The 23012-nt window shown below is 42.7% G+C and overlaps 1 protein-coding gene across 1 annotated transcript in view, besides 1 other annotated feature; it reads right to left on the bottom strand.

Annotated features, from left to right (window-relative positions):
• The window catches only part of TEAD1 (TEA domain transcription factor 1), a 270317-nt gene that overhangs the window by 84703 nt on the left and 162602 nt on the right, over positions 1-23012 (bottom strand). The window lies entirely within an intron of this gene.
• Positions 13036-16250: an enhancer, noted in NCBI's record as "VISTA enhancer hs1314". NCBI's record gives its function as "enhancer in: midbrain (mesencephalon)[9/12] | dorsal root ganglion[9/12] | forebrain[9/12] | limb[8/12] | branchial arch[7/12]" and the evidence as "EXISTENCE:transgenic organism evidence [ECO:0001131][PMID:17130149]".

Below are 23012 nucleotides of genomic sequence, written 5' to 3'. Positions count from 1 at the left end.
CCTTTCAAAGCTTGGAGTCCAGAACTGTGGCAGTGCTCCTGCTATAGCATCAGAGTCAGTTTATTACCTCTCTCATCCTAAATACTCTACCTCTGTTAATGCAGCCAAACACTGCATTAAATTTTTAAGGAGCACAATAAATTATCAATATATGCCAACTTAAACTCCTAGGTCTTTTTCATACGGGCTCGTCTTCTGATATGTCCCTACCCCTGTTTCCAGTCTTTTTAATGCATAGCTGAGATTTTCAGACCTCAAAACAGAACCTTACATTTTTTCTACTCCATTTCATCCCCTTAGATTCAGTCTATCATTCCTGCCTGCAAGATCTTCTCAGATCCTGTGAACCCTTTTACCACAGGACAAGAACCTCTAAATTCAGTTTTGAGGATTGCTTTTCTAAGCATTCTCTTTCAAACTTTTGAGAACTACCAATATCCCCTGTAGTATCATTGGATCTACTTCTCCATCTCTCAGATGGTTGTACAGATTTTGCAATTTGTCTTGAAGGCTCGCTGACAACAGAGCCCAGCTAGGAGTACCTAATTACGAGAAGCCAGAGCTAAATGACAATGTCTGCAGACAAGCCAAGCATCCTCCAACCTGGGGCCTCACTGTGCATCCTGTTCAGGGCTATTTGAGCGGCCAAGGCGAAATAGATCCAGGGCTCTGTATTACATACAATTTTGTCCGAACCTTGTCCAGATGACAAAAATGTCTCCTACCCTCAAACTTGTTTATTTTCTGGGAAAACAGACAGAATACCTTGATAGATGTGACACATAACCTGACTAACTTTTAATTTCTTGCAGCACTTGGAGTTGAATGAATAAAATCAATATCCAAGACAGCCCTATTTGACTGTGTACCACAGCCTATACAAATGGCACCCCTTGGAGTTAAACAGTGTCAACTCACACTTTGACTGAAGTACAATCATGCACCACATGATGACATTTTGGTCAACAATGAGCTGCATACATGATGGTGGTCCCATAAAATTATAATGGCATGTTTTTACTGTCTTTTCTATGTTTAGATTATGTTTAGATACCCAAGTCTTACCATTGTGTTACAATGGCCTACAGTATTCAGTACAGTTAACACCAGACAGGTTTGCAGCCTAGGTGTGTAGTTGGCTATTCCATCTAGGTTTGTGTAAGTACACTTGACGATTTTCTAACAATGACTAAAATCACCTGATGACGTATTTCTCAGAACGTATCCTGTTGTTCAGTGACTTCTAAAAATTATGACTTCAACAGGTCCTTACTGAGTACTGTGGCCTGGGCATTACGCTGTAGTCATTATTTCATTGAAAGCTCATCTTCACTCTCATGTCCTTGCTTTTCAGATGAGCAAGCTCACTTTTCAAAAACCCATGTTCTTTCTTTCATCTATGTTTCAAGCCATGAATAAGTAATTATTTCTTTTAAATATTAGAACTACCTGCTTTTTAAATTATAAAATCTTCCCTTAAACAAGTCTTAGAAACCTAATAAATTATCTTAAATGCACTAAAATGTTGCTTATAAAACTAGTACAATTTCAACCTTCCCCCAAATCAAATGTCTAAATGAGCTACTTCATTGTACATTTTAATTTGGAAATACAGGCTGATCTGTTACCTAGGCCAAATTATTTCTTTTAATTACTTGAAATATCAAATATACATAAATCCTTTAAATCAAAAACATTAACACTATGGCTCTAATTCTACTAAAATTTTATATGTTTAATTCTAAATCTTTCCAGAATTTAATTATACTTACCCATTTACAGAAGTATGCCATTCCAAACAATTTTGGAAGATCTTTTTGGCTGTTTGGGATTGTATATGCATGGTGTATCAACTAGGTTCTGAGGAGAGTCTTGTCAGCGGCCCTGATACGACATCCTAAGTCCTATCTCTATTTCCTTTATTTCTTTTAGACAGGGTCTCACATTTATCACCCTGGCTGGAGTGCAGTGGCACGATCTCGGCTCACTGCAGCCTCAACCTCTCAGGTTCAAGTGATCCTTCTGCCTTAGCTCTCCAAGTAGCACGGGACTGTGGTAGCTCATGGGACTACAGGCCTGCTCCACCATACCAGACCAACTTTTGTATTTTTTTGTAAAGACAGGATTTCATCATGTTGCCCAGGCTGGTCTCAAACTCCTGCGCTCAAGCAATCCGCCCACCTCGGCCTCCTAAAATGCTGAAATTACAGGCATGAGCCACCGCACTGGCCCCTATGTATATTTCTACAGCCCTGCCCTCCAAAGGGGTGAGCTCACAGATTCCACAGCCCTGGATTTTGATCATGTTACTAAGACGCAGCATTTCCTAAGGGCCAGAAGATAAGCAGCACCATCACTGATGTAACTGAAAGTGGGTCTCCAAGCTATGCAGCATAGTCCTGTTGCAGCCATGATCTTCTAACACACACACACACACACACACACACACACACACAGAGACAGAGAGAGAGAGATGCTTGATTCAGTAAACCTGATGCTACAAAAATGACTTTCAATAAAGCTAACTTTAAGTTACTTATTATTTTCCTAAAACAATCCTGCAGTCACCTGGGGACCGTCTTCCTTTCTGCCTTACACCACGCCTGTCCAGTGAGTCAGAGAGAGATATAAAGCTTCTCTACAACATAAAAATTATTTTAGAAATGCACAACATGTCACCTCTTTAAGCCTCAGATGCTGTAGTTGTAGCTGCCCTTGTCTTTCCCACCGGCTGCACATAAGCAGCAAGGACAAACACAACCTGACCTGTCACTTTTACACTGTGATCCTCACCAGGCACTGTAATCTAGTTTTTATTTCATTTTATTTTCTTTTTCCTAAATAATATAACACAGTTCGAAATGAGCCCATCATTGGCTTCTCTTGCATCTTGGATTGCCATGGAATTTCCTGCTAAAGGGGCAATACAGAGAGAGATCCCAGAAGAAAGGCATGGAGTTTGCACTGCGCTTGCCTTACCAGATAGAAGACTGGTTAACGTTGTTGTGGGCTGTATATATAATGTGATGTGGCCTCAAGGTCATGTTTGAGGCACAGCAAATGAAGGTCTGTGGCTAGAAATTGTAGCCCAGAGACACTCAAGCTTTAACAGTGTAAGAGCCACTTTGTAATTGAATGGAGTCAGGGAGCCACCAAGAAAGAAGCAACAAATGCAATGCTTCTCTTCCCTGGCCGTGGCCAGTCCTAAGGCAAACTCACACCCATGAAGGACTGGACTGCCCTGGGCCTAGGAAGCTCTAGCTTGGCTTCTCTAAGGAAACATCTGCTGGCCCTTTCCCTTCACTGGGAAGGATGTGTGAGGATTCTCCACCCCGTTCTTCCATATTAAAACAAGGAAAATCAGAAAGAAAACTCATTTCCCTTGACTGCTAGACCAAAGCTACATCAAACAAGGGTCTTCTACATATCCCCCCACCCCGCTCAGCCCAGTAGTACTACTAGATTATCGAATGTTTCCTGTGAACACCTTGAACTTTGTACCTGGGTGCACAACTGCTGTCATGGCCTGTACTGTCCTTGCCCATTTCTGCATGTCTGGAATCTGCCTACCTTCCCAAGGCCTCATCCTTCATGAACCTACCAGCTGGTGGAGGCCTCCCCTTTCCCTAAACATTCACAGCCTTTGACCTGGGCTTCTTTGCTGGTAACTTGTATTTTTTTCTGCCTTATGTGATATCATTTCAGCACATGTCATGATTGCAACCAAGTCATAAAGTCCTTGGCAACAAGAACCAATGACATGGATCTCTTCTCCGCCTCCCTTTCTCAGGTGGCTCAACATTTATGGACCGAGTCATTCTTCAGGTCAGAAAAGAGGCTCCTACATCCCTGTAGTCCCAATTTGGCACCAGATCATGAACATAAAGTTAAAAAAAAAAAAAAAGGAAGAAGATAACCCAGTGGAAAGAAGCAAAGAAAGATGTCTTCCACAGGAGACCCCATGCCGGCATCAGCACAAAGCATGGGGAGAGTGGTTTACAAAGAAATTTCTCAGGCAAGATTCTACAAGACAGTGCTAAACTGCCTTCTAGTCATATGCCCCCACCACTCCTTTTTTTTTTTTTTTAAGACAAGGTCTAGCTCTGTTGCCCAGGCTGGAGTGCAGTGGCATGATCATGGCTCACTGTAGCCTTGATCTCCCGGGCTCAAGTGATCCTCCCACCTCAGCCTCCCAAGTAGCTGGGACCACAGGCAGGTACACCACACCTGGCTAATTCTTAAATTTTTTTTTTGTAGAGACAGAGGTCTCACTATGCTGCCCAGGCTAGTCTCGAACTCCTAGCCTCAAGTGATCCTCCTGCCTTGGCCTCCCAAAGTGCTGGGATTACAGGCGTGAACTACTGTGCTTAGCCCATGAAGTCTGTTTTCATCAGCTGGGGTTCATCAAAAGGAAAAAAATATTTTAGGATATGAAAGCCAACAACCTGGTCAGGCGCAATGGCTCATGCCTGTAATCCCAGCACTTTGGGAGGCCAAGGCAGGTGGATCACGCAGTCAGGAGATCAAGACCATCCTGGCCAATATGGTGAAACCCCATCTCTACTAAAAATACAAAAATAAGCTGGGCGTGGTGGCACATGCCTGTAATCCCAGCTACTCGGGGGGCTGAGGCAGGAGAGTCGCTTGAACCAGGGAGTCAGAGGTTGCAGTGAGCTGAGATCACGCCACAGCACTCTAGCCTGATGACAGAGCGAGACTCCGTCTCAACAAAAAAGAAAAAAGAAAGAAAGAAAAAAGAAAAAAAAAGAAAGCAAGCAAGCCAACAACCAAAAAGTATAGATGAAGGGGACACTGAGGAAACCACATGTCACTGTCTTGGGAGAGGTCTACAGAATGGGGGTGTTTTATCTCCCCATCCATCTTCCTGAAGATCTAGGAGGTATGTATCTGTGGACACTGCCAGAGGAAGCAGTAAAGAACATTTATTAACTAACCTGTGAGGAGTTACTAATTAACCATTTCTTCTACACGGATGCCATAGCAACTTGTCCCAGCAATAGTGGAAAAGAAAGGAGGCCTACGGAAGCTGGCCAGTCATCCACTGGTCACACATGGACTGTGTGTGGATGGAACACAAGAAACATGCTAAAATTATGGGGGTAAAAAGATGCCATCTCAAGCTGGGTGCAGTGGCTCACGCCTGTAATCCAAGCACTTTGGGAGGCTGAGGCAGGAGGATAACTTGAGCCCAGGAGTTTGAGACCAGCCTGGCTGAGAGTGAGACCCTATCTCTTAAAAAAAAAAAAAAAAAAAAATCAGCCAGGCTTGGTAGCACCTGCCTGTGGTCCCAGGTACTCAGGAGGCTGAAGCAGGAGGATTGCTTGAACCCAGGAGTTCAAGCATGCAGTGAGCCAAGATCACACCACTGTACTCCAGCCTGGACAACAGAGTGAGACCCTGTCTAAAAAAAGAAAGAAAAAGAAAACACGCCATCTCTGCCTTGGAGGTGCTTATGTCTTGTTTGGAAGAACTCCAACCCATGAGAACTGGTCAGATCACCCTAACATGTGCTCTCACAGGAACCTACGCCTCTCGGTCACAGCACACAGCACAGCTACTGTGTTCCATTTATCTGAATGAGACTATAAGATGAACATGTGCCTACCCCTCTACTACCAGACAGAGAAGTCCACAGGAGCCCAGAGCATAAACTGGGTTTTGCTCATCACTGTGCATCCAGTGCTGAGAACACAGCAGGTCCTCAGTGGCTACAGACTGATGGAGTAAATGACAGAGTGAGAGGGATGGAGAGCCAGGGAGGGAGAAGGGGCACAGGCTAAGATTAGGTGTAAGGACAGGCTCATGAAAAACAGCCTCTGAACCAGTCCCACAGCATATCCAACGAGGAAGTTCTCAGTTAATCCTCAATATAAATCATTGACCAGAAATCAGCACCAATGTGGAAAATCACCAGAAACAGCCAGGCCGCCCATTCAGGGTTGTCAGGGGCTGGTACTACTTGTTCCCAAACTAGAAGTTCACCAAAGGACTGACGGCCTTCAGGAGGTAAACAATAGCAATCCCTGGAGATAATATGTGTCTGCATTCACCCAGGGGCTTATTAAAAAAAACAGCTTTCAGAGAAAGAACATACAGAGAAAGGCTGTGTTAACTCCTGGTTACTCAGAACTTCTATCTCATATCCCTGCCAGTGAGTGTCTGGCGATAACTCAAGTCCCACCTTCTCAGGAGTTTGTATCAGTCAACGGCAGCTGATAACATTATCATGTGACAACTCCATAGAACACTGTGTTCTCCCGCATCTTAGAGGAACCGCTTACAAACTACACATTTGCCTTGGGTTACAGGGGTCAGAAAGAGATGAGCAAGTAAAAATGTTTAAGGCTGCATAGTGAATACAACACTGCTATGTTAGATAGAAGTTATTTCTGTTCTAACTATTTCTAGATGAAAAAGAAATATGAATGAAGTTTTCTTAGTGGCTCATTCTCTATGAGGCAATAAAGATACGCCACATAATCACTTTCTTAATCCTCTAATGAGTAGTTTGACTAGCCTTACCACTGTAACTATGCCTCTGATCATTTTTCTTTCTAATCCATCCTCTACACAGCTACCTAAAACACAGTTCTCAGTTATAAGACCTTCCAAGGCTCCTACTGCCCACATCTAAAGGAATAAACTGCTTTAGTATGGTGTTCAGTGTTGTCCCCACCATCTGGCCCCTAACTATTTTTCATGACACACCACCACCACGACCACCACCACAATTCATTTTACCACCATCAAAATACCTACCAAGCTTCCAGTTCCCTGAACCCACCCTGCCATGCTAAGGTATTATAGCTGCAATAACCCTTAAGACCACCAAGGAAAATCTTTCCAGGTCCAGCTCAGATGTCCCCTCCAAGAAACCTCACCTGAAACGTGCCTGAAACATGTGCTAGACATGGAGTGTATGAAGAGGGGTAAGCCAGACAGCCAGGTGCCCAGAGCCCACTTCACCAGACCAGCAACTGGGAAAGACCACAATATTATAAAGTGAAACAAAAAGTACTATGAATTAAAAACAAGTCACTTAGTATATGAGGGGAATGATGGCTTGACTCTTAACTAGGCAAGCAGCATGAGCTTCACCATTCTGTCCTGGTCTCATAGTTCTTTACTTCATGTGTCAGGGAACCGCCCACAATCAGACTCTGCTGAGTTCCCTGTGTAACAGACTACAAGCCTCTTCAAGGTACAGTCCATGTCTTTCACATCTTGGTATCCCATACACTTAAAGTGTAGATGAGATTTAATGGAGGCCAGGCATGGTGGCTCATGCCTGTAATCCCAGCACTTTGGGAGGCCAAGGCGGGTGGGTCACTTGAGGTCAGGAGTTTGAGACCAGCCTGGCCAACATGGTGAAACCCCGTCTCTACTAAAAATACAAAAATTAGCCTGACGTGGTGGCACACACCTGTAATCCCAGCTACTAGGGAGGCTGAGGCAAGGGAATTGCTTGAACCAAGGGGGCGGAGGTTGCAGTGAGCCAAGATCGCGCCGCTGCACTCCAGCCTGGGCAACAGAGTGAGACTCTGTCTCGAAAAAAAAAAAAAAAGGAAAAAAAGATGAGATTTAATGGAGCCTGAACTTGCTGCCCCCAACTGTGACCTAAATAGACTGCTACCCACAGGCTCTCAGGCGCCCACCATGTCCTGCCACTCATCTTGCAGGCATTTGTCTTTTCTTTCACCTCCACATCTAGTTATGTTGCCTTCCTATACCAACAGGTTCTCATCCACTACAAGCAAAACACAAACTCCTTAGTCTGGTACCTAAAGCTAAGAGCCCACTCCTGTATAGGGCTCCTCTATTCTAGAATGTGGCTCTTCATAGAGTTCCCCAGACCACTGTCATTCTTTTCCAAAGATACCTCCATGCCTTTGTGGAACCACCTATCCTTACATGTTCTTTCTCTTCTCTTTTACCTGCAAAGTCCTATTCATTCCTGTATACCCTACCTGGAACACTTCCTCCCCAATGTCTGTGGGAGCCATCCAAACTGAGTTAGTCATTTCCTGCTTTGTAACCTCAAGTACTGAGCATGCACCCCTGCTACTGCTGCACTGCCATTACTTATCTACAGACTATTCATCCACCTCCTAGAATAGTGACTGCTCCATGGTAAAGCACCTGTCTGGTTCTCTGTGACCCCAGATCTGGTAGCTATTAAGTACGTGCTCAATAAATAGTTTTTTTTTTTTCCTTTTTTTGGAGATGGAGTCTTGCTCTGTTGCCCAGTCTGGAGTGCAGTGGAATGATCTCAGCTCACCTCTGCCTCCTGGGTTCAAGTGATTCTCCTGCCTCAACTTCCCAAGTAGCTGGGATTACAGTTGCCCGCCACCATGTCTGGCTAACTTTTTGTATTTTTAGTAGAGACACAAGGGGGTTTCACAATGTTGGCCAGGCTGGTCTCGAACTCCTGACCTCAGGTGATCTGTCCACCTCAGCCTCCCAAAGTGCTGGGATTACAGGTGTGAGCCACTGCGCCCAGCCATTTTTTTAAAAAATAAATTTTACTGCATATATTTGAAGTTTACAAAGTGATATTGAGATACATATAGATAATAAAATGGCTACCATAGTGAAACAGATTAACATAGCTATCATCGCATAGTAATTTTTTGTGTGTGACGACAATAGTTAAAATCCTCCTAAAAGTGTCTAGCATAATTCTAACTATAGTCCTTATGTTGTACATTAGACCTCTAGACGCATATCTGCTACTTTGTATCTTTTGACCTACATATCCGTTTCCTCTCTCCTCCTCTGGTTCTTAGTATCCTCTGTTGTTGTTTTTTCTCTACTCTGTATATGTATGACTTTTTTTTAAGATTCCACGTATAAGTGAGATCATGAAATAGTTTTTTTCTTTCCGTGTCTCGCTCAATAAATGGTTTTAATAAATGAATGAAGGAGCTCACCTCTTTTGTATAAAGAAAATCCGAAGAAAAGATCTAGAAAAAGATTATGAAAATTAGACAGCACTGCCAATATCACCTGAAATCTGTAAATCCTTTTAAAGTTGCAACTATTTCAGTGAGAAGTGGCACAATTTTTCAGACCTTTGTTCTCGTCTCTTATGACCAATGCATGCTCATTGCTTCTTCATGCCCTATACCCATGTCCCTGCCACTTCCCCAAGCCACAGCCATAGAGACCTGGTCCAAAAAAAGCTAATCTTAACATTAACCCAAGAAAGTCTTATTAATGAAAAGGTTTGCTAAAAGCACTCTATTTATTAATTATTTGGCCTTAGAGAAGTGTGAAATCCACACATTTGAAGTGCTAAACACCGCTAGTTTATAATGAAGAATCTTTAATGATGCAATGCTGCCGATTTCTGGTTTTTTGACTCAAAGGTATGACTGCCTAGATTCTTCTGAGGAAACTGGACTTATGAGCTGTGTGAACTTGGGAAACTTGCTCAACTTCTCTAGACCTCTATTTCCTTACCTGTAAAATGGAAATAACAGTTCCTACTCTAGAGGGCTGCTGTATGCATTAGTAACAGAAAATGGGAAGGCTCTGGCACCTTCTGGGGCTCTAAAATGGTCCTTCAACTCTTTTTGAGATGGAGTTTCACTCCTGTTGCCCAGGCTGGAGAGCAATGGCACGACCTTGGCTCACTGCAGCCTCCGCCTCCCGGGTTCAAGCTGTTCTCCTGCCTCAGCCTCCTGAGTAGCTGGGATTACAGGCATGAGCCACCACGCCAGGCTAATTGTTTGTTATTTAGTAGAGACAGAGTTTCCCCACGCTGGTCATGCTGGGCTCGAACTCCTGACCTCAGGTGATACACACGCCTCGGCCTCCGAAAGTGCTGGGATTATAGGCATGTGTCACCACACCTGGCCCAGTTCTTTAACTGTAATGTAATGTCACTGCACCAGGTTTATATGTCTTCGTTGCTTGAACTGATATATAGGGTCCTAAAAGGGTTGAAAAAGGTTTTCTGTTCAGGACACCGTACTACATGGCATCTGGTATAAACCCATGATGCTTCTATTGCTAATGTTGTTGAAATTGAACATCTTTTCCAATCTTTGTATCTTCTTCAATTTTCAAAATGACATGGTCCTAAAAATTGTTTCCAAGTAAACAGAGCACTTATTGTGATATCTTAACATTAAGAGGGCACTATCTTAACATTAAGAGGGCACAAATCTTTTAATTTGAAATAGATTCTCCACTGAATAAATAGCAGGAATGAGGTTTTTGCCAGAAGGTAAGTATAGCCAAAATTCTTAAAATTTGTGACAGACTGTATAATTAAGTCTATGAATAGGCTGGAGGTGTTGCATTAAACAGCATGTCCCTCACTGGACGTCCAGTATTTAGTTCTTGTTGTAAAAACAACTATCACCAGAAGAATTCTATCAACTTCTGAAGCTACTACAACAATAGCTACACAAAGGTAAGTTATGCAAGCATTAAGTCAAAATGGCATGCTCAGGGATGACTTGCTGCTTAGAAAACATGCTGAAGGAGTATCTAAATGTCTAGGCACTCAGTAATCTAATAAAAATATGAAAAGCATGATGAGAAGGAATAACATTTTTAAAATGAACTCAAACTGAAGAAATTGAAATTCAGGGAATAAGCTAAATGAAACACTATTGCGGAGTTTAGAGATGGTGGGAGGCTATAGAAAGTTGGGCTTTTGCAGGGAACGGTGGCTCAAGCCTGTAATCCCAGCACTTTTGGGAGGTCCAGGTGGATCACTTGAGGTCAGGAGTTTGAGACCAGCCTGGCCAACATGGCAAAATCCCATCTCTACTAAAAATACAAAAAAATTAGCTGGACACGGTGGCATGTGCTTCTAATCCCAGCTACTCGGGAGGCTGAGGCAGGAGAATCGCTTGAATCCGAGAGGCGGAGGTTGCAGTGAGCCCAGACAGTGCCACTGCACTCCAGCCTGGGCAACAGAGCGAGATTCCATCTCAAAATAAAAAGAAAGAAAAAAAAAGCAAGAAAGTTGGGCAATGACATGCACTGTGTATCTACTATGCACCAGCACTATGCAAAGCACTGTGCTTTTTTTTATTTTATTTTTTTGGTGAGGCAGCGTCTCACTCTGTTGCCCAGGCTGGAGTACAGTGGTGTGATCATGACTCAGTGCCACCTAGACCTCCTGGTTTCAAGCAATCCTCCCACCTCAGTCTCCTGAGTAGCTAGGACTACAGACGTGTGCCACTATACGCAGCTATTTTTTTTTTTAATTTTTTGTAGAGATGGGGTCTCACTGTGTTGCCCATGCTGGTTTTGAACTACTGGCCTCAAGCAATCCTCCTGCTTCAGCCTCACAAAGTACTGGGATTACAGGCATAAGCCACTGCACCTGGCCAAAGCACTGTGCTTATACACCACAAATTTAACCTTCACATTCACCTAATTCTACCTAGCTCAGCATTTTATACATGCTGAAACTGCAGTTCAAAGAAGTTAAGAAACTTGCCCAAGTTCCCAAACTAATTAAGCAGTGGAGTCGGGATTTGAACCCAGCTTTGTCTTCCAAGTTCCTTAATCCTTAACATTAGACCAACTGTTAAGTGTTTAATGAGAACAAAATCTTAGATGGCGGCAGAATCCAGCCATGAAATGGACTGAATTGTACACACATCACTTTAAAGTTCTCTAATTTCTCATCCACAATACAGAAGAATAAAGCCTCAACTCTCTAAGCATCCAAGGCCTACATAATCTGGCCCCAAGGCACTTTCCTCTCCCATTCAATAAAATTTATAGAATATTTTCTGTACAAAAGGAATTAGGCTAGGCTCTAGAAGAGAAACACGCTGGAATAATACACACTCTCTGCCCTCAAGGAGTTTATGGTCTAGGAAGAGAAATGAGGCTAGAAGCCAAACAATGGTAATCAAAGACGGAACGATTAGATGGATAGATGTACTCAGGAAGGGCCTGAGACAGGTGCCCAGAGATGTTTCCTCCTAGGGTTGCCATGCTCTGGCTCACTGACCCCACTGCCCTAGCCACATCAGACCTATCTCAAAACTAGAAGCAGCCAGAGGTAACCCCATACCAGCTAGTCACGACAGAGAAAGCAGTGGCCTATGATATAGGGTTCCCACTGGAGATGATGACCAAGCAAACCAAGAAAATCACCTTCCTCAGTTGAGCTTAGATTCAGGACAGCTGCTTGGTTTTTCTTCTCCTTTTAAATTTCTAGGCTGGGCACAGTGGCTGACGCCTATAATCCTAGCACCTTGGGAGGCCAAGACAGGAGGACTGCTTGAGGCCAGGAGTTCAAGAACAACCTGGCCAACAGAGCAAGACCCGTCTCTAAAAACTAAAATAAAATAAAATAAATTTCTAATGATCTAGGTAACACATGAACACATTCTATCCGTAAAAAATTAAAACGTTACATGGGCAAATCAGTTTTTGTCTTTTCTCCTGCCACTCTCTACACACACTTCTGTCTCTAAAAATCCTTATTCCTGTCATGTTGGGTGCTATTTCCTTTGTGTGAAATGGCCACCACCCCCACCCCCACCCCACCAAATCTACTGAACAATGAATGATTCCTGAGCTGCCAGGCCTCTGCAGCTGGCACTTCCTCCACTCACTCCCCAGCAGTGGGCTGGGTCTGCCCCTCCTGCTCACCATACTTTGTGCACACTGCTAGCACAAGCTTGCTACACCACATTCTGCCTGTTTTTGCTTTTTCCTTGGCAGATTGTGAGCTTTGTGAAGGCAGGACCCACATCCTACTCCCAACTACTCCATCCTCCCAACCTCTGGCCCTGCATGAAGAATGTGCTACTTAATGATATTGCTACTGTTGACTTGAGTCTCTCCCTGAAAGAAAAAATATCTGAATATATGACATCATGGCTCATGGGACGCAGTGACTGTCTTCTTTGAATGGGCAGGCAGAAAGGGAGGGGGAAGCCGCAGGAAGACAGAGAAAGCACTGTGTTGGCAGGCACTGGGGATGCAAAGAAGAATGCAACAGGGCTCCTGCCTTCAAGGAGCTCACAGTCGTGTTGGATGCTTATGGAATGCAGAAATACCCATGAATCTTTCCTCTTCTTAAGCTCCAAGAAATCAAAGAGGAAGCCACAAGCACAGCTGAGACAGACTGGCAATGAAAGAGGACATGTGGCTGTTTTGTTCCCTAACAGAATGAACCTGGAAAGCTTAAAGCCCTTCTTACTTCAAAATTAGCTCAATCTTCCCTGTTTTTAATTCTTGTGATCTTCATCAATTTCAGATTTAGTATCCTACTTCAATCCACCACTGACAGAGAGCATAACATTCAGCATTTAATTGAGAAAAACAAATTTTCTAAGAAACACCTCAACTTGTTTATAGGCAGAATAGGTAAGAATGAACTGGACAAACGGAAGTCAGACATGCTAACTCAGGGCCTTATTCTCAGTACCCACAATATTTTCTACAGACAGAAGGAATATATACAGTCAACACAGCTTTATCTGCAAGCTCATTCACCACACAGAAGTTTGACTTCTAAAAAAAAAAAGGCAGAGCCCAAACTACTTATGTGGCTCGGGCCCTGAATGTTGCTTTGTAAAGATATCTCAGAGTGAAATTATCCAGCAAACCCTTGTGTGGATAGAAGGTTCCACAAGTCAACAACCGCTTAAGCAGTTTAAACCAACAAGCAAGATGCCCTCTATTTAAATGCTATGAGTGAATCTATTTTAAGCCTTTAAAAATCCTTTGGGCAGGTGTTTAAGCTGTGCACAGACTGAGCCTGTGGAGGCTCTGGGGGGTGGGGGAGGGCGGGCTCCACTCTCCATGCAGGCAACATTTTGTTCAGACAATCTTCCTGCAGCAGGTCATGTGACAAAGGCCAAATAAACAGCATCTGGGGATTTTCAATTACAGACCTTCGCCCAGCATGCCTGCACTGTAATCTCTACCAGATGAGGCTCAGGCCTCCCTATTTTCAATAATTCACACACTGTGTACACATAACATGACAATAAGTGCATTCATGGTGTGGCCTGATTCGCAGATCAAAGCTAGCAAAGGGCCAGCTGTAAGCATGCTCGGCTGCTGGATGATTCGTGCCTTTCACAGGCTTGGAAAGGCGCTCCGCAGGACCTGGCAAGCCGGCCTCTTTCCTGTGTGGTATGCTGAGCAAACTCTGAACATGAGCGGGGCACAGCCCCCTGGGACACCCAGAGAGGCGACCAATTCTATGTGCATTTGGGAGTACTGGGAAAGATTCAAACACCAACCTACTCCACAAGCTCCCTCTTGGATAGACTTGTCTTGGCTAGTGCAAGACACGTGCAAAAGGCCACCGCTAAAAGGGGCAGGTGGTTCTTGAGATGAAAACTGTTTTACAACAACAGTACGGTTTCCACACTTAATAAACCCTTAGCCAGGTGCAAGTGCTCAAGTTCACAAATCCACTGGCTGTGCAGTTCCCATTTAGCCATCACACACGTGTACACAGACTGAGACACAAACTACATGGAGGTATATTGTTAATGCATGTCACAGAGCTTTGGATCTGGGAAATGAAAGAGGACGCTCTGTTGTTATTACTGAATTCCCTACACATTAACTCAATTAACTCCTGTGCTAGACTAACACTTCTAGCTACTGTGTGTGCGTGTGCGCACACACACACGATAGTGCTTTGAAAGCATTCAGAGTTCTCAAGTCCACAACATTCCAAATGTCTCTTTCCCTGCAGAGAGAGCTGCAACTGGAGAAAATAAGGACACCACTTCCTCATATAAAAATTCTAGGCCCGGCACAGTGGCTCATGCCTGTAATCCCAGCAATTTCAGAGGCCGAGGGTGGATCACTTGAGGTCAGGAGTTCAACAACAGCCTGGCCAAGATGGTGAAACCCCGTGTCTACTAAAAATACAAAAATTAGCCGGGCATGGTAGTGGGTGCCTGTAGTCCCAGCTACTCAGGAGGCTGAGGCAGAGAATTGCTTGAATCCAGGAGGCAGAGGTTGCAGTGAGCCAAGATTGCGCCACTGCACTTTAGCCTGGGCGACAGGCGAGACCCTGTCTCCAAAAAAAAAAAAAAAAAAAAAAAAGATTTCATACACGTCAATCAGGGCAGGAACCAGGAGAAAGCCATAATGGTGACTTCCTTGGAGCCAACACATGCTGCTCACCAGCTGTGGGCTGTGTGTCCTTACCCCCTTTGCTCACTCATTCAGAATGGTTTCCTCTTAATCACAATAATCCCAAAAGTGCTAAAACATATCAATCGTTGGGTAAGCCCTGCCTACAAAGGGCCAGCCGGCTGGCTTTTATGGTCTTGTCCAACAGCAGCTGATACTTCATTCAGTAACAAATCCAATTTAGCAGTTACAAGAGGTTTAGCATCCCTGAAAAAAATATTGGGGTTGATCTGGCACTCTGAAGTCAGCAAATGCTCCACTGCCATATTGCTGTGGAGATTTTTCTGTCGTCATATTTGGATGTCTATAACCAACTGTCTCGCACCTTCCCCACCCCTGCCCCCCAATGATTTGATGCTGGTGGTGGCAACAATTTAATCCCTGGATTAAAAAATATAGGCAACAAATCACATGTGGAAACTGACTGAATAATGTGATTTTACCATCATCCCCTCAAACATAAAAAGGGGGAGGAACTGGCTTTCCTTTTCAAACAGGAATTTCTAACACGTTGAAAGAAAAAACTATGAGGAAAAGGTGATTTTACTCTAATCTCTGGACTCTTAGTTCTTAAGAGGAAAAAGAGATAAGCAAATGTGAAGTTTTTAACCTTGGATTAAAATTTGTCTTCTTAAAAACAATGGCGGCACTACCATAAAGACCTTGTAACTAAATTATTTACATTTATTTAAACATTAAAATGCTAAAACAAAAAAAAGCTTTAAGTCATGATGGGTGAAAATAAGAAACTGGCATAAAGAAAAGTTTCTGAATATTTAATGTACATTCTTTACAGTTTATATAAATTCAAGTTAAAAGAATCTCCAAAGAAAATAACTTGAATAATTTAGCTATAAGAGGACTTCACAACCAACAAAATGTCATTTTTAAGCAACAAGGTAATTTATAAAGTAAAAGAAAACGGAAATGATCTAATAGGAACATGGGCTGATTATTCCTTTAATATTAGGCTTCGTGGTCAATGGTTGGTTATTTAACCCGGCTCCAGTTTTAATAACAAAAAAGTGACCACAGAAACATCTGATTTTTAAAAAGAACAAGTTTTCAGCGCCATAAATGAGATGCATGCAATTATGGCTGGCAAGACATCAACAATGAAATATTCCATACATGGAGTTATTTCATGTGGTTTTAAAACTTTATTCTTTTCTCTAGACTTTTTAAAACACAAACTGAAAAGTAAAACAAAATAAACAACCAAACCCTGCAGATTTGAAAAGATTTAGCTTTTGTGAATAACAATCCATTAGATTAATATTTTGTCAATGTCACTTGTCACAACAAAAGCAGCAGCATTTATAATTTACTCTAAGACTGGTTTAATTAAAATTCAAAAAACCACAACAAAGCTATATTGAATTTCATTTCCCGCATTGTAATTACTTACTTCGTAGCTGACTATAAACAGTATTTTATTACATCCACAAAAATGCGTTTAAAAACTAACAGTAATTCGTAGACACTGGAAGAACTGAGGGAACAAGTCCTGTCACTTCTACTTTGAATAGAGTGCTACTTTCTACTTTAGTGTGACATAAGGAACGAGGATGCATGATCTTTTCCAATCTGAGGGGATCTATAGATCTGACAACATTACCTACCCTTAGAGCTGGGCTCGGACTCCTTGTGAACACAGATTTGGCAGAGCAAGATCTATGTGCACCCTCCCAAGACCAAGAAAGGGCCTGACTTGGCTCAAATCCAACAATGAGACAATAGAGGCTGCCAGGCATGATGGATGACTTAAAGGACTTAAAACCACCATTTGCATCCTCCCAGATAAACAATTAGCTAGAAAAAAAATTTTTTTTTTCCTGGAAGCAACTTCCAATGCTGTTACTCTGCCTAGCAGAATAGAGTTAGTTTAGTGAAATTAGAACAAAATTTGAAAATGTCTCAGACAAATGTTCTTAAAGTATCTCACTGGAATTAGAAGAAATAAACCATTCATTTTAGATTTTTTAAGTTTAGAATTTTAAAAGTTAGAAAAGGCTTTGATGCTTATAACTCTCTTAAAGTTAGTGTCAGAAGGTTTTCAATATATTTACTTAGTTCATTTTTGTATTCCTTCTTCCTTCATTTGAAATCCATGTAATTCTTAAAGGCAGCATAATAAAAAAAAATTCACTTATTGGACAAGGCAGGCAGGCATAAACACGATTTAAGCATGAAAAAAAGGAAACGGCCTTCAGACATGCTTGCCAGATAAAAATCAGTGGTTCTGAACCTGCATACAAGCAATTTTCTGGAGCTCATGAAGACCCAGGAGAGAATGCTTGAGAAACGACAGAGAAATCTCTTAAAAGTCACCCTGCATTTCTCTAGAATGAATTTACAGGACAGGCTAAGAGTATCTCCGGAAGTTCACCAAGCCTCCATTAATAAATGAGGCAGCAGTGTGGTTTCCGTGGCAACAGACTCCTAACTCCCGCAAGCTTAGTGCACAACTGCCAAAGATTTCTCCTCAAATCTCAACTTCCTGTTTCCAGGTACTGACAAAACCAAACATACTTTTAAGCCCAGGGAAACAGCAACAGTGTAAGGGTTTTCAATAGGTATTCTCGTAACGGTGGTTTGGTCAAAAGTGAGGTGGACTAGGCAGCTCCATCTTGCTGCAGAGATTTGGAGAACACTTTTAAAGGGAGCTAAGAGCCCCCTGAGAACGTTCAGTGAGTTAAATACATTTGCTGTAATATTATAATGTGTTATGACAAGCTATATATCATTATAATAGGTTCCCATGATTCACATTTGCCTGTTTTGTTTTGTTTTGTTTTGTTTTTTTCCTCTGCTCTGTGGAAATGATTTGGGGGTTTGGGTAAGCTTGATTCAGAATTCGGCACATGAGGAAAGCCGACTACATTTCTTTAACATATGTAACCTTGAGGTTTATAGGAGAGGTCACGATACATTTTAAAAGAGACCTTCCCAGACTATTTCATATGAACGGGTAAGTGTGGAAAAGTACAGACGCTAGGAGTCTGCCATTAGCAGTCACTGACTCTAGGTAAAGTTATCAGCCTTTGTGAGCCTCAGTTTCCCCAAAGGTCTCATACCCTATAATGCTATGATACCACGATAAGCCCTAGCTACTTTTACATTCCTTCCAAACACATGCAGAGAACACCAGAAAGCACTAGTGTGCTTCGATTCTCCATCTCCCATTTCCCTCTAAACACTGAAGGAGCTAAGCTACCAGGGTGCAAACTGAAGGAAGATGGCATATCTCCCAAAAAATGCAAGTAGCTGAAAGAAGGGCAGCTACCATGACAGCAGCCTGGAGGGGGAATGTGGAGGGATTCTCAGAAAAGCCAGAGAGAATTCTAAACCAACCCCTCCAAGAACAGCATGAAACCGACATTCCCCATTGAGTTTCCCTTGGAGAAAAATAATCGAGAAAAACTGTACTTATTCTTTATGCTAAGGCAGCGAACACACTTCCTAACCAGCATCCATCCCCACCATCTCAGGAGCTGCACTCACAGCAGACAGAGACTCTCTTAAGCCAGTAGCTTGCTAAGCACCGATTATAGGCATGGCCTGGTGGGGACAGCTAAGAAGACCAAAGGAGGGAAAAAAGACAGCTCTTCTGTACCCACTGAGCTTACATTCTATCCATGGTGTATAAGAGACGCAGGTAGGAAAAGAGGCAGAGCCACAGAGGCTACATATTTTTCAGGATTTCCCTTTTAAATTCTGTTCCTTTTCCCCTTTCACCTATGAATAAATCTGGGTCTGTGTCCCTCTCTGCATCCATAAAATAATGTAACTTCCCACATGACTCACACATGCACTGCCCTTAGCGTATTTTCATGTTAAAAGGCTTTAGCAGACAGTAACAAATTCCTGACAGCTACAACTGATAACTTGAGATGAGAAAAAGTATTCCATTTCAATTTTCAGACAGGTCTGGCTTGGGAACAAACCAGCTGAAGGACAGGGAGGGCAAATTTCCAGTACAACTCTCCCTATAAAAGCAATAAAGTTACTACCAATGGAGAGCAATCAAATATCCACCAGAACTCTGAAAGCCACTGGGTATCTCATCCCACTCCACTCACAGGGGCCCGTGCAGAAAGCCACCATTTGCATATAAACTTCCCTATGAAGTCTATGCCTTAGTTTTTCTACCTCAGAGAAAAATGAGAGGCTTCTGATAGGAATGGGGCCCCTTCAGCCTCGAGAGAAGATCTGCAGAGTTGGGAATATCTATTAACATAGACGGCACTTCCAAACTGCAGGAAGAGCACACAGCCGAACCCCAGACCTAGGCCCCCAGGCTAAGACACGGCCATTTATTTCGTGAAAGTGAAAATGAGTAAAAGTTAAGTGAAAGACTATTACGCAGAAACGATCAACCCCAGTACATGAATTTGGACTGACCTCTTTACAATTTAATTATAGGAGGTTATATTTACCAGCACAACACTGAATATGGCCTCTTAACTCTCACAAGCTTCTCATGGCTTCTTCTGACTCCCCATCCTTACACAACCATTCCATAGTGAAAACATCCATCTCTCAGACTCATCCACCTTCCACCCTTCTTGCCTTGGCCCGATTTCGTTTCTGGTCTTTTTTTTTTCTTTTTTTTTTTTTTTTGAGGCAGAGTCTCGCTCTGTCGCCCAGGCTGGAGTGCAGTGGCGCGATCCAGGCTCACTGCAAGCTCCGCCTCCCGGGTTCACGCCATTCTTCTGCCTCAGCCTCCCAAGTAGCTGGGACTACAGGCGCCCGCCACCACACCTGGCTAATTTTTTGTATTTTTAGTAGAGACGGGATTTCACCATGTTAGCCAGGATGGTCTTGATCTCCTGACCTCATGATTCACCCGCCTCGGCCTCCCAAAGTGCTTGGATTACAGGCGTGAACCACCGCGCCAGGCCCGTTTCTGGTCTCTTAAAGCTGCCTCCGAACTGTTTTCCTTACTTTCCATCTGTTCCCACTCTCACCCTTCCTTAAGGCTACAACCAGAAGGATCTTTCTTAGATTAATGAGTCTTACCACATTACCTTCAATGTGGGCTTTCTATCATATAGTCCCCTACTACACCTAGAATGCCAACTCTTGTTGCTGCCTGCAAATTTCTATTCATCTTTTAATATCCAACTGAAACAAACCCTTCCATTACGCGAAGTTAGTGATTCCCTGGTCGTGCTCCTTACGTTCTGAACCTGCTCTGATAACCCCCGCCACATTCTGGCATCACTTCTTTCCCAACCAACATCTCTACTACTCCCTAAAGTACTACTACACGGCAGGAGCTTTATCCTGTAATTTCTGTTACCTCAGTCCCCAGGACACAGCCTAGCACCTGGGACATAATAACTGTTAACTGAATGGACAGGCCAGAAACATGTGGACAGAGTGGATGCAGTATTTCTTTCTGAAGCTCGTGATCTTCAAAAAGAGCTTTGTTTTTTGTTTGTTTGTTTTGTTTTGAGACAGAATCTCACTCTGTCACCGAGGCTGGAGTACAGTGTCACGCTCTTGACTCACTGCAGCCTCCACTTCCCAGGTTCAAGCAATTCTCCTGTCTCAGCCTCCCGAGCAGCTGGGACTACAGGCGTGCATTACCACACCCGGCTAATTTTTGTATTTTTAGTAGAGACGGTGTTTCACTATGTTAGCCAGGCTGGTCTCAAACTCCTGACCTCAGGTGATCCACTGGCCTCTGCCTCCCAAAGTGCTAAGATTATAGGCGTAAGCCACCATGCCCGGCTCCCAGTTTTTTTTTTTAATAAGTAAATTGGAATGAAAAATATTGTTTTGAGAAAAAAGAATATTTGGGAATTGTCCCAAGTCTATGAAAAACAATGCTCAGAGTTCTGTCCTAACTTGCTTGTGTGGTGACGTGTCTTTTGTCAAAAGGAATTTATAAGTCTGTTTCCCCAGTTTGAGCGGCACAGATTTTCTGTTGAGAAACCATTTTATGTCACGTGTGTGGTTTCTCATCCAAGCTTCCTAATTGCAAAATATTATCACTCTATAACCAACAAGCAAACAACGAAAATATTTTTAACTGTACTGCCTGGGCTTAGAGAAACTCTCTTAGAGACTTTAATATTAGAGAATCAGAAATGTTTGGCTCTAGAAAACACTTTAGAGACAATTTCATCTAACAATTTCAATTTTGCTGATGACAAAATGAAAGCAAAAAGAAACCAAAAGACGTGCACAAGGCCACAACACTTGTGGGTTTACTAAGAATATCCTGACTCTGAAGCAGTGCTCATTTTAAAACCAATCTATAATAAACTTTTGTTTTACATGAACGTTTTACTTAAAATGTTAAAATTTATCTTCAAAGTAATCCCATCATTAACATTTAGTAAACACATGAAACATGTCTTTAATTTGCTGCCAGTATGATTTGAATCCAAAAGTATTCTTAATTAAAGAAAACCAATTCAGATATATTTGGAATTTATATCTCAGAGGCTATTCTGATCACAATTACACAATCGAAAAGTAAAGGTTGGTTTTCTCCCTTAAAGGATCAAGGGCCTAGGGATATTCTTGGAGGCCATGTAGCATCGTCCACATTAAGCATTATTACCCAAGGACAATACAGTGCTCCAAATGCCCCTAAAAAGTAGAATCCTATTTGTCACACATTTCTCCTGAGTGTATTACAAGTTTCACAAAAGGAAGTCCCGTATTAACACAGAACCCAGAACTTCTGTTATTAGGTCTCATGAGGATGTGTTGTAAGTCATTAAGTGACAGTATTGTCTTCAAAATCCCATAGATTAGGCTGGGCACGGTGGCTCACACCTGTAATCCCAGCACTTTGGGAGTCCCAGGAGGGCAGATCATCTGAGGTCAGGAGTTCGAGACCAGCCTGGCCAACATGGTGAAAACCAGTCTCTACTAAAAAAATACAAAAAAATTAGCGGGCGTGGTGGCAGGCACCAGCTGCTTGGGAGGCTGAGGCAGGAGAATCGCTTGAACTCTGGAGGCAGAGGTTTCACTGAGATGAGATCGCGCCATTGCACTCTAGCCTGGGCAACAAGGGCAAAACTCAGTCTCAAAAAAAAAAAAAAGAAGAAGGAAGAAAGAAGGAAGAAGAGGAAGAGAAGGAAGAAGAAGAGGAAGAGGAGGAAGAAGAAGGAGGAGGAGAAGAAGAAGGAGAAGGAGAAGGGAGAAGGGAGAAGGGAGAAGGGAGAAAGAAGGAAGAAGGAAGAAGAAGGAGAGAAAGAGAGACCAGAGATGCGTGAACACAAAGGAAAGGCCGTGTGAGGACACAATGAGAAGACGGCCATCTACAAGCCAAGGAGAGAGGTACCAGGAGTAACTAAACCTGTTAATACCTTGATCTCTTGGGCTTCCAGGCTGCAGAACTGGGAGAAAATTAATTTCTGTTGTTTAATCCACCCAGTATTCTATTATGGCAGCCCTACCAGACTAGTATAACCTATCTGTAGCTTCCAAAGAGACTCTAATCTCATTGAGAACAGTAGCCAAAACTGCCCTGTCCGTTACTGAGGACCCGATGCCTGGCCCAGGGCAGGGGCTCAATGAAAAAATAACAGAAAGCCCTTTTCTTGTTTGCAGAAATTAAAATAATAATAATTTTAAGCACACAGCCAAAGAGTATGAGGGGAGTAGCTACTTTTCATATTAATAGCTAAGTGGGCAAGAAAGGAAGAGGGTAACCAATTATACCGTCCCTTTTACTCTCAACAGATTTTTAAATATGCTTGCAGCATAAACTTTTGGACATTATAAGTAGTTAATTTCAAGATAATTATGGATGAAGAGTAAGTTAATTAAGTTGTTTGCTTTTATACACTAGGGTATATATGAGTTTGCTGGGCTTGAGAAAA

Source organism: Homo sapiens, chromosome 11, assembly GCF_000001405.40.
Source record: "Homo sapiens chromosome 11, GRCh38.p14 Primary Assembly".
Lineage (NCBI taxonomy): Eukaryota > Metazoa > Chordata > Mammalia > Primates > Hominidae > Homo > Homo sapiens.
Note: the sequence above shows the minus strand (reverse complement) of the source record. Positions and strands in the feature narration are given on the sequence as shown.